Source organism: Homo sapiens, chromosome 5, assembly GCF_000001405.40.
Source record: "Homo sapiens chromosome 5, GRCh38.p14 Primary Assembly".
Taxonomy (NCBI): domain Eukaryota; kingdom Metazoa; phylum Chordata; class Mammalia; order Primates; family Hominidae; genus Homo; species Homo sapiens.
Genome location: NC_000005.10, coordinates 180,367,012 through 180,379,261, shown reverse-complemented (window position 1 = coordinate 180,379,261; position 12,250 = coordinate 180,367,012). Strand labels below are relative to the sequence as shown.

At 51.9% G+C, this 12,250-nt stretch overlaps 1 annotated feature.

The window, feature by feature from the left end:
- Positions 8,490–8,991: an enhancer, noted in NCBI's record as "H3K4me1 hESC enhancer chr5:179797271-179797772 (GRCh37/hg19 assembly coordinates)". NCBI's record gives its function as "activates a minimal SCP1, AML or CMV promoter by ChIP-STARR-seq in naive H9 embryonic stem cells {active_cell/tissue: H9 hESC(naive)}" and the evidence as "EXISTENCE:reporter gene assay evidence [ECO:0000049][PMID:30033119]".

Sequence of the window (12,250 nt, the reverse complement as noted above, 5' to 3'; positions counted from 1 at the left end):
CAGGTAGACCCTAAATGCAAGCATGTGTCCTTAGAGGAGACACAGAGGAGAGACACAGGGAGAAGAGGAGACCCTCACGGACCACCAAGGTAATGATGTAAGTTATGCATCCACAAGTCAAGGAACACCTGGAGCTGCCAGAAACTGGGAGAGACAAGAAGGATTCTCCCCTAGGCCCTTGCTGACACCTTGATTTGGGACTTCTGGCTTGAAGAACAGTGCAAAGATAAATAGGTGTTGCCATTGAGTCACCCATTTGTAGCAGCTTGTTATGGCAGCCACTGGAAATTAACACCCACTGCAAGGGGTGAGGGTGTAGGTGGGGAAACCAGCATGGGAGGCGCTCTGCAAGACACAGCCACCCAGCTGACTCCCAAGTACATCAGGCCTGCCATGGTCAGCATTTGCTATGTTTACTCACCACCTGGATTTTTTAAAAATGTGTCTCCCTGTTTTCATTTAAATAAACTTATTTTAAAATGCAGTATTACATCACTAAGTTAAATATAAAACTAGATTCATTTCCCATAAATAGAAGGGAACCATGAACATTAATTCAATGAAAACAAAACTTACTCCATTCTAATGACATGTTCTGCTGCCTGCCAAGGTCTCTGAGTCTGTGGCCTCCTCTTTGAGTCTAAAAACATAAAATAGGGCTAGTGTCAGAGAGGCGCCCATGGCGAACTGGCGTCAGAGAGAGCTTCTCCTGCCATGTAACTCCATGTCCCTATACCCGCTAAGGTCAGCATCACTCCCACTTTGCAGGGCCCACACCTAGACAGCACAGCCCTCAAGGCTAACGTCCTCAAGCCCTGGCTGGCCCAGCCAGAGTAACTCTGCGCAACGCCGGCATACACAGGGTGGTGTTGGTGCTGTAAATCCAGCAAAATTCAGACTGAGGCGTGGGCAACAGAGTTTTCATGACGGGATGGGATGGGGTGGGGGCGGGATTGGCTGCCCTAGGGAGGTTGGAAGAAGGCGGCTACCTTGTGTCAGGAAACTTGGGGGGTCGGGGTGGGGGAAGTCGCAGGAGCCAGGCTAGGACCCAGGGCTGACCCCAAAGGGGACCCCTGTGAAGAAATGGTTGAAATTGGAGTGAGCTTTCCCTTTGGACAGTGGAGACAGTCCTAGGATGAGCCCAGTTTGGTTGGTAGTTTTAGATGTTGAGAGAGAAAGTGAAATGCACCCGTGTTTAGCTGCAGGTTGATTTCGCCATGCACGGTTTTTAAGTCACATGCACTAACTCGTACTCGAATTCCTCAACCCACAGAGCCAAAAAAGCACTGTGCCTCGGAGGGATTCCTGTGGCTGGGCTCCAGGGCCCACGCAAAGGAGTGACACGGGGCACCATGTAAATACCTGTCTGGTTCAGACACAAGCTTCCTTACATCAAAACAGCGTGAAATTGTAGGAGACCCAAATTCCAAGCCAGGAATTCAGAAGTGGAAGAAATCAGTGCCAGATGACTTTGCTTTGCCTTGCGGATGCCGTTCACACCCTGCCCCAGGAGCCTGACACTAGGGGGGACCAACAGGCCTTCCTGAGAGGGAGTGGCTCCGCAGGGTCACCTTGGGCTGGCCTTGTTCCTTTGCTAAGGGTCACAGATCCTGGGAGGTGGCTCCTCTCCGACCCCAGCAGGACAGCCCTGGAGGGCTGCACTCTCCTTGGGGCTCTCCTGCACCCTCCCCACACCTTGGTAGAGTGTCTCATTAAACTCTCCACCAAAGAAGGACATTCTGCAATATCTGAGAACATGGATGAATCCGGAGGGCATTACGCTAAGTGAAATAAGCCACTCAGAAGGACAAATACTGCCAGATTCCACTTATATCAGGTGTCTAAAATAGGCAAACTCATAGAAGTAGAGAAAAGAACGGTGGTTGCCAGTGACTGGGGGCTGGGGACACTGGGGAATTGTTTCTCAATGGCTTACAAAGTTCTGTTATGCAAGATGGATAAGTTCTAGAACTCAGTGCCCAGAGTTCATGATTCGGAATTATACACTTTAAAATATGTTAGTCAAAAAAATTAGCCAGGTGCGGTAGCACCTGCCTGTAGTCCCAGCGACTCAGAAGGCTGAAGCAGGAGAATCGCTTGAACCTGGGAGGCGGAGGTTGCAGTGAGCCGGGACTGCGCCACTGCACTCCAGCCTGGGTGACAGAGTGAGATTCCCTCTCAATAAATAAATAGATAAAATATGTTAGGAGGGTGGCTCTCGTGTTGGGTTCTTACAAAAATAAAAATAAAAGAACAAAAGGAAATTTTCAGAGGTGATGGATATGTTTAGTACCTTGGCTGTGATGGTATCCCAGGTATATGTATATCTTCAAACTCACCAAGATGTATACATCAAATGTGTGCAATTTTTGTATATCAGTTATACCTCGACAAAGCTTTAAAACAAACCAAACTCTCCTCAACTTACCATATTTGAATGTGCCCCAGGAAACAGATCCTCAAAATAGTCTCTGGGATCTGGCTGCTCACGTATTTGAGGAACACACAGCTCACACCTCCTCGCCAGAAAGAAATGGGACTTGGGACATCTGGCCTGCGGTGGCATCGTGATTACTCAAAGGATGTCTGGTAATAGCAAGAGATAAGGAGGCCAAGGCGTTGGAACAGCAAGTGGCTGCCACCCTAGCTGCTATGGCAACCATGGCCCAGGGAATAGTATCTACTCTAGAGCATCATTTTTCTTTTTTCTTTCCTTTTTTTTTTTTTTTTTTTGAGATGGAGTCTCTCTCTGTCGCCCAGGCCGGAGTGCAGTGGGGCGATCTCGGCTCACAGCAAGCTCCGCCTCCCGGGTTCACGCCATTCTCCTGCCTCAGCCTCCCGAGTAGCTGGGACTACAGGCGCCCACCACCACGCCCGGCTAATTTTTTGTATTTTTAGTAGAGACGGGGTTTCACCGTGTGAGCCAGGCTGGTCTCGATCTCCTGACCTCGTGATCTGCCTGCTTTGGCCTCCCAAAGTGCTGGCATTACATAGAAATTTTTTTAAATGACCCTTCCCCACAGAAAGCTTGAGAAGTGCTAGTGTCCCTAGGAATAAGGAGAAACTGACAGCTAAGCACGTCCAGGTGCACATGCAGGTGGAGGATGGCAACGCTCCACGGCAGCCTTGGCAGTGCTTTCATCTCCTGAGCAGCAGGGCAGATGAACTGCAAAGGTGCAGAGCTGCAGTGACAATTGAATGCTCAATGTGGCCGGGGTCCATCACACACAAGAAAGACGTGGGACCCTGAGACTTGGGAGACAGACAAGTCAGATAGGCACAAATGAGACTGAGAGCCCTGAATCCTCAGACTTCCTGAGTCTCCCTGGACAACAGAGGCAGTTCTCCAGCCCAGGGAGCTGGCCTCCCCTATGGAAGAGCCTTTCCATGATTCCCTGAATCCTCAGACCCCCTGAGTCTCTCTGGACAACAGAGGCAGTTCTCCAGCCCAGGGAGCTGGCCTCCCCTATGGAAGGGCCTTTCCATGAGTCCATGAATCCTCAGACCCCCTGAGTCTCTGGACAACAGAGGCAGTTCTCCAGCCCAGGGAGCTGGCCTCCCCTATGGAGGAGCCTTTCCATGAGTCCATGATTCTGCCTGCATACACCTGCACCCTCCGGAGCCGCTGTGCCATCAGAAGCCCAGAGACTATGGGGAGTGGATGGAGGAGAGAGGATGGATTCCAACGCATTTGGCCAAGGGGATGAAATGTGAGATTCAGTCAGCCCACAGTCATTGACATGGACACACCCTATGGTCCCGCTGGATGTGATGTGCCGGCTGGAGAGGAGGGAGAGATGCTATCGGTCTGCGGGTTGGCTGATGGAAGCTTTGAAGGAACATGGCTGAAATGTTGGAATGTCCTGGCACACTGAGTCTGGAGACCTAGGGACGTAGGCATTTGGGACACTTCCTCCACTGTGGATGCCCTTGAGTGGGTATTCACGGAAGCTGCCAATATCATCATGCTGTGCCCATTACAAGTGCCCCAGCCACACGACTTGCCTCCAGACCACCTGGCCCCCAAATTTCCAATCTCATTCTTTCCGGATCCTGCCCAGGCAATCAAGCTGTTTGCCACTGCCCCTGAGTCTGGGTATTTGTAGTGAGATTTTCACCCCAGGTCTCCCAGCAAAGCAAAGGCTTGGGCAGCCATGTTCTGACCTGTTGTTTCTCTCCTATGCCGTGTTAAAAACATGCTATCACATGTGAAAAACATGGGTGGTGGCTAACATTTTCGGTTTCCAGTAGGACCAAACCAAGGAGCCAACCCCACCCCACAATGACACTACGGCTCAGGGTTTAGCAAACTATGAACCCGATTTGCTCTGCCATCTGCTTTTGTAAACAAAGTTTTATTGGGACACAGCCACACTCATTCGCGTATGGATTGTCCACGGCCACAGCCAAGCTGAGTTGCAACAAAGATGATATGGCTCACAAAACTTCAGTATTTACTATCCGATACTTTCTGGAAAAAGTCGCCAACCCTGCTGTTGCTATCAGGAATTACTGTACCCCTCTTTGGTGACATAAAGTTTTACCTGAATGAACTGGGTGCTGAGGAGAGAAGGGGTGAGCTGTTTTGGAGATCTTCCATCTACCTTTCCTGACCCACCCTCCACTTTTCTCCATCCTGTTCTGTATTCCAGGAGGCTGGTTATGGGTCACATGGAAAGGGCTCTTTTTTCTTGTCACTTCGAGTGGGGTTCAGCCCAAGGGAGGTGTTTAGCAGAAGACTGGAGGGAGAGAGAAGAAGAAAATCCTTCCTGCAGGGCCTCCTGCGTCCCACAGCCGAAGGTCACAGCTTCTATCAGACAAACTCCACACAGCCCTTTCAGCCTCAGAGTTCCAGAAACTTCTCTCTCCCATTGCTCCTTCTGGCCTAGAAACAGTAACGGTTCCCTGCTGTTACTAGCACCAGAGTACTGCCTGTGTTCTCCTCACACCCTGTCCTCACCTTCACACACCTTCTACTAACATCTTCTCAAACTACCTATTTTGAGGGTGCCACCTGTATCCTGCAGGAATATAAAATGTAACTGCTTATTTTTTTCTATAACTATTTTTTTTCGGAGATAAGAGTCTCACTCTGTTGCCCAGGCTCAAGGGCAGTGGCTTGATCATAACTCATTGCAACCTCAAACTCCTAACTGAAGCAATTCTCCTGCCTCAGTCTCCTGAGTAGCTGGGACTACAGGCATGTGCCACCATGCCCAGCTCATTTTTCATTTTTGTAGAAATGGGATCTTGCTGTGTTGCCCAGGATGATCTCAAACTCCCAGGCTCAAGTGATTCTCCTGCCTCGGCCTCCCAATGTGCTGAGATTACGGGCATGAGCCAGCATAACTAAGCCTACAACTAAGTTTAATTTGAATTTTGTGCCCCATTCCACCAGGATGGAGTTCAATTTCAGTTTTCTGGTTATCTCCATTAGTTCAGGGTTTCACACACACATGCGTCACACATATCTGCCCCTGCCTTCTCTGGGATTTCGTGAGAATAAAGTGGCCTCACAACTGATTTGTGGGGTACAGTCCCAGCTTACTTCTGTTGTCTTGGCATGGTTACAAACAACACACCTCTTTACTCTCAGAGTCCCTGGTTTAGACAGGAAATTATGCGGTGACCCTATGTAGAAAGCACTAGGTTGGTCTGGGGGACGATCTTGTTCTCTGTTCGTAATATCCAGCTGGCACCAGCCACAATGGCCCTTATCTAGTCTGGCCCTGAGTTTTCAGTCCTCAAAGTTTCCAGCAGCCTCCTCCTCCTCTCCTGACCACAGAGCCTGCCCCATTCTGTCCTCCTCAGCTTCTTCCGCCTCCTCGGCTCTAGGCACTTGGCATATATCAGTGAACAAAACAGAAAAGAAAAAAAAAAAAAAAGCCCTGCTTGCAAGGAGTTTTCTTCTTTTATATTTTCTAAAAGATGTTTTTAGGCTATGAACTTTCCTGTGAATACCACTGTGTATGCATCCCGCACCTTATAGGTTTTAATATACACGTTCTTACACAGTTTCAGTTCTTTTTTTTTTTTTTTTTTTTTTGAGTTGTAGTCTCGCTTTGTCGCCCAGGCTAGAGTGCAGTGGCGCGATCTCGGCTCACTGCAAGCTCCGCCTCCCGGGTTCACACCATTCTCCTGCCTCAGCCTCCCGAGTAGCTGGGACTACAGGCGCCCTTCACCACGCCCGGCTAATTTTTTGTATTTTTAGTAGGACGGGGTTTCACCACATTAGCCAGGATGGTGTCCATCTCCTGACCTCATGATCCGTCCACCTCGGCCTCCCAGAGTCCTGGGATTACAGGCATGAGCCACCGCGCCTGGCCCACAGTTTCAGTTCTAATGTCCTCTTCTGCTCTAGGCTTATTTTTTTTTCTTTTTTCTTTTTTTTTTTTTTTTGGTTTTTTTTTTTTTTTTTTTGAGACAGAGTTTTGCTCTTGTTGCCCAGGCTGGAAAGCAGTGGCATGATCTCGGCTCACTCCAAGTTCCGTCTCCTGGGTTCAAGTGATTCTCCTGCCTCAGCCTCCTGAGTAGCTGGGACTACAGGCACACGCCACCACGCCCAGCTAATTTTGTATTTTTAGTAGAGACGGGGTTTCACCATGTTGGCCAGGATGGTCTCGATTTCTTGACCTCGTGATCCACCTGCCTCGGCCTCCCAAAGTGCTGGGATTACAGGCGTGAGCCACCACGCCTGGCAGAGATTTTTTTTTTTTAATTATCCTCTTATTGTAACCAGAAAAATATTTTTGCTTGATTTCTATTTTTTTTGAAAATACTTAAATTTACTATAGAATTTTATGAACATTCCTGTTACCTTCTCTTATGTTATCCTCACAAGTTATTGAGCTGGAGTATAATTCCCATTTCACATGTGAGTCCACATGTCTGGAGAGAGCTGAGCTAGCAATGAAGAGCCTTGGGATCAGAGCAGAGATCCAAACCCTAACCCAGCAGGCTCAAAGCAGCCCTGTTCCCTGCCATGAGAGGGTTCCAGGTATGGAGGCCATGCCTGGGAGGCCACAGAAATGGAGCTCTCTGGGGGAAGCGCCTGCTGGGCAGTTGCTTCTCAGCCCAGGCCTGAGCTTTGCACCGTCTCAGTGGTTGGTAGCGGAGGAATGAGGCTGTGCAGTCGCCCTCTCAGGCCCAGTAAGACACCTGATTGCCTCTGCCCAACCCCACTCCTCAGATCCCAGGGGCAGCCCTGGCCCCCCAGCTTGTCCCTTCCTCTAGGAGGGAGGTTACTAAGGCCCTGCTCGCCCAGCCAGGGTCCTCCCAGAGGGAGCTGGAAACAGGATGGAAGCTTGGCTAAGGCCTGGTGATGGAAGCTGCGGCTTGGCCTGCAAGGGGGCACCCCAGGGGCACTGGGCAGGGTCTGGGCGTCAGGCAAGTAGCCAGGTTGAATTAGGTGACTGCTGTCAACGGAGCAGTCAGGAAGGCTTCTCTGAAGTGGGGACAAGAGCCACCTGGGAAGGGAGGAAGCCTTCAGGCCGGGGAAACAGCAACCGCCAAGGCCTGGAAGAGGAGCAGCAGTTTCTTGTGCTATCCACTTTCCCTGCCATTAGAGAATGGAGCTCACATACCACTCGTGGCCCTGGAGATCACACATGCCCGGCCTCCAGCTCCCCCTTTGCGTGCGCACACACACACGCAAAACCTCTCACACCACGACTCCAGGATACGGTGGGCCCCTCTGAAAGCATCCCTAAGTGGGCCGCAGGCAAGTTTAGGGGGTGCCGGAGCTCATGCCAAAGCCCGGAGTGCAGTCCCACCTGAAGGCAGGAGTCCGCACCAGCTGGTGGCCTGGAGCTCATGCCAAAGCCCGGAGTGCAGCTCCACCTGAAGGCAGGAGTCCGCACCAGCTGGTGGCCACCTCGAGGGCCCTTGACCTGCCGGATGATCCACACAAGGCGCCCAGCCTCTCGGGCCCCTCTCCCATCTGTCCAGTGGGTGGATTGGTCCAAAGGCCTGAGACTCTCTGTAGCCCCACCACTGTCTGACTCACTCGCGATCTGAAAACAGGCAGCACACAGCTCATTTTCCTCATCCGATGACAAGACAATTTCCCAAAATCCCTTTTAGCTGGGAGGGGTGACAGAAAGGCCATCTGGCCAACACCCATCCTTGCAGCCAGTGATCATTTATTTCCCAGCTGTGTGTTCTGAAGAAAATAATGAAGGCTCTGAATGCCACCGCCAGGGTGGCTTTGCAGCTGTTCTTGGCAGTGACCCCGCTGCAGAACCCCCACTGACGGAGCGTCCTTCCCCAGCTTGAGCCGCACCCATCGGACTCCACCAGGGACACTTGAGTTTAGCTCACAGGGAACCAGAAGCAGCTGCCCCTCCCCATGGACAGCCTGCCCCTCCCTGAGCTGTGGCTCTGGGACCTTCTCTGGCCTGGCCCCTGCCCTGCCTGCAGGCTTCCTCACTGTCCTCTGAGCATGCACGCTGTGCCACGCAGTTTGCAGAGCCTGTTCTCTTCTGTCCTCATGACTGCCTGGGAGCTAGGCCTTCCCAGCCCCGTTTTACAGATGAGGAAATCAAGGCTCCAGGAGATGTGGGGGCTTGCCCAAAGTCACAGGCCAGCAGGAGCAGGCACCTGAGTGCAGATCAGGCCTCCTGGCACGGGTTCCTCTGCATCTTCCCCGTCCCCGCCCTCCACCTCTTCCCATCCAGGTCCCCCGACTCTGACCAGCCTCCAGCCCAGCTCCTTCTCTAAGCCCCAGATACATATCCAAGTGCCCATGTACCTCTCCACTGCAGAATGGGGTGTCCACTGGCACCTATCCAACCAGGCGCAACCATGTTCCTCACCTCCCCAGCCTGCTGCTGCCTTTGTTCTGAAAGCCAGCCTCGGCGCTCCTGGTGCCCTCCAGGGCTGGATCCATGGGGCATGCCACGCTTCCTTCCCTCCCTCCCCTCCCCAGCAGCTCTGGGACCGTTTGTGCTCCCCTGAAGCCTCCCGCCCACCCAGCATCCCACTGCCCCAGGGATCTTCCTAAAGTGCAGGTCCCTCCAGGTCACTTCTGTGTAAGGCCCTCCGCTGAGCCTCCCACAATGGAGGGCATGGGGAAGGACTGCCCAGCCCGCCCTATCTGTGGGCCCCACACCCTAGGCTCCCGGGCTCCACCTGCAGCACCCCATGAGGTTCCTACTTCAACCCATTGGGCTCCCCTCCCTACACACTTCCCTTCCGCCTGGCCCTGACTGCCCTGACGTCCCTCCCACTGGCCCAGGCCGACTCTTACACATTTGTGATGGACAAAAGGTTTTTTACAGGCTGGGCACGGTGGCTCAAGGCCTGGCGCAGTGGCTCATGCCTGTAATCCCAGCATTTTGGGAGGTTGAGGTGGGCGGATCATGAGGTCAGGAGTTCGAGACCAGCCTGGCCTACATAGTGAAATCCCATCTCTACTAAAAATACAAAAAAATTAGCTGAGCGTGGTGGTGTGCACCTGTAATCCCAGCTACTCGGGAGGCTGAGGCAGGAGAGTTGCTTGAACATGGGAGGTGGAGGTTGCAGTGAGCCGAGATCGCACCATTGCACTCAAGCCCGGGCAACAGTGCAAGACTCGGTCTCAAAAAAAAAAAAACAAGTTGTTTACAACCCATCGTCCATGCCTTGGTCTGTTAACAGCACCTCAGATTTGTCTGGGAGATGTCCAGCCCACCCCACCCCACCCCACGATGGGTGTGAAGCCCAGACCTGTAGTGACCATACAGTGACTGGCTCAGGGATGCATGATTCCCAACACAACCTGAGGAAATCCCAGCTCTTCCTCTGAACTTTTGGGGATGGGCGCTTGCTGTCCACTGGGGTTGCTAAGTCAGTAGGATACAAGCCTGGAACCTTCAGGGCCACCAGGCAAAGAAAACCGACCTAAAGCAGCACAGAGAAAAGCAGAGCTGAGAGACGGAGACAGGAGGAGACCTCAGTATCCGAGTGTCTGGATCCAGCTGTGCCTGCACCTGCCCATGAATTTTTCAGTTATGTGAACTAATTAAGTCCCCTTTTGACTGGCACCACTTTGAGTTTTTTCACCCAGTTGCATAGCATCAAGACTGGCTCCAGTGACCCTCTACTCCTAGGCACGGCAGGTGGCACCAGGAAGAACTGCCTGAGCCCCTGGACCCACTTGGGAACAGTACATTTCCTTTCTTTTTTGCTTCAGCTGATTTGAGGTGAGTTCTGCCCCACAGGCTTGAGGCCTGTGCTCGGCGGGACTCCAGGCTAGACTCAGAGTCAGGGGACAGAAGCTGGGAGAAGGCAGGAGAGCCTTGTGCTCAGTGGAGCTCTTGGGGCCCATCACTGTGATCCATCGAGGCACCGCAGTCACAGACTACAAGAATTTTTTCTTTTGTTTTTTTTTGAGACAGAGTCTCACTCTCGCCCAGGCTGGAGTGCAGCGGCATGATCTCGGCTCACTGCAAGCTCCGCCTCCCGGGTTCACGCCATTCTCCTGCCTCAGCCTCCCCAGTAGCTGGGACTACAGGCCCCCGCCACCACGCCCGGCTAATTTTTTTGTATTTTTAGTAGAGACGGGGTTTCACCATGTTAGCCAGGATGGTCTCGATCTCCTGACCTCGTGATCCACCCGCCTCGGCCTCCCAAAGTGCTGGGATTACAGGCGTGAACCACCGCGCCCGGCCAGGGATCTTCTTGTTGGCCCATGAGAGAACAGTGTCGCACCTCAAATGGTTTTCCAGACAGCAGGTATAGAGGCACCTGGCATGAAGTCTCATGATAGTCAGGATCTAGGACCCCCGAGTGGGCAGTCACTGTGACCTGCCTATGTTTAGGGTCAGCGGGCGCCAAGACAGGGTTGGCGAGTCCCTTCCAGGAAAGTGGCCCCTGCCATCAGGATCTCTGCTGTGACTCCATCTATGCACCTGCACCACTGGGACGTGCCAGGCTGGAAGGCTGGGAGTCTGGATGCTGGCTTGTTTTCAGTTATTTTTGCTCACCAACATCTGCAGATTCATGAGACGGTCCAAATCATTTCACTCCACTGATTGAGATCGTGATGTGGGGCAGTTTGCACCCCTAGAGGACACAGAGCCCCTTGTTCTCCCTGCCCTGACTTCTCTGCCAAGGAGCAGACTAGCCAGACAGGCTGGTGCCAAGAGGCCCGTGACCCCAACTCAGCAGCCTGGGCAGATGGGGGAGGCACCAGGGACTCCTGAGAGGAGCTGCTGGTGGGAAGGGAGGTCCAGCTCATTACACTTCTGTAGGTGTGGTCCTGTCCAGCCTATGAGGGCTCCAGGACAAAGGCCTGGCACAAGCCTCCATGGCCCCCTGGACGCGCAGCATTCCCGGGCCCTGCTTACAGGCCTGCCACTAGCCACTTTGCAGGCAGGACAGGGAAACCACGCTGCTTCTCCCAGGCAAGGGGCCAGCCTTTCTGCTTCCAGAACACCACGGTCAAGAAGCCTTCCCTCCAGATTCAGAGGTTCCCCATCTTTTTTGGTTGGAGGATGATGAAAATGTTCTCAAACTGATGGTGATGAAGGCCGCACGACTCTGGTCATGTACTAGATGACACTGAATCATACACCTTATTTTTCCCCCGTTTTACTGTGGCATAATTGACAAATGGACATTGTACATATTTGTGGCATACAGTGTGATGTTTTGATACAGATAGACATCATGAGACGACTAACACCAACCAACTAACATATCCATCACTTCACACGTTATTGGGGTTTGTGGTGTTTTGTTTGTCATTTCACACCGTTATTGGGGTTTGTGGTGTTTTGTTTGTCATTTCACACCGTTATTGGGGTTTGTGGTGTTTTGTTTTGTTTTTGTGGTGACAGCATTGGCGATCTACTTTCTTAGCAATTTTTCAGTACACACATGCTGTACCTGAGGTCTCCAGCACACATTTCCCCTGTCTAACAAAACCGCACCCACTCACCAACACTCCCTATTTTATACACATTAAGCGGGTGAATTGTATGTAAGTGAATTATATCTCAGTAAAGCTGTTAAAAATAAAGCAAGAGCACAATGAGGATTATGCAATACAACAACGTTGCTGTAGCCCTCTTCTTCTGCTTAGCAATATAACCTGTGTCTGAGTCTCAGGGCTGCGTGACCTTTCCTGGTGGGCATGTTCCATTCTTCACGTAACCCGTCCCTATTGAGGGATGTGGGTTATTTTCAACGTTTGCTAAGTATAAACAGCACCAGGTGAACATCTCAAATATTTTTTGCCCAGTTGTTCATTATCCCATTAGAATAATGC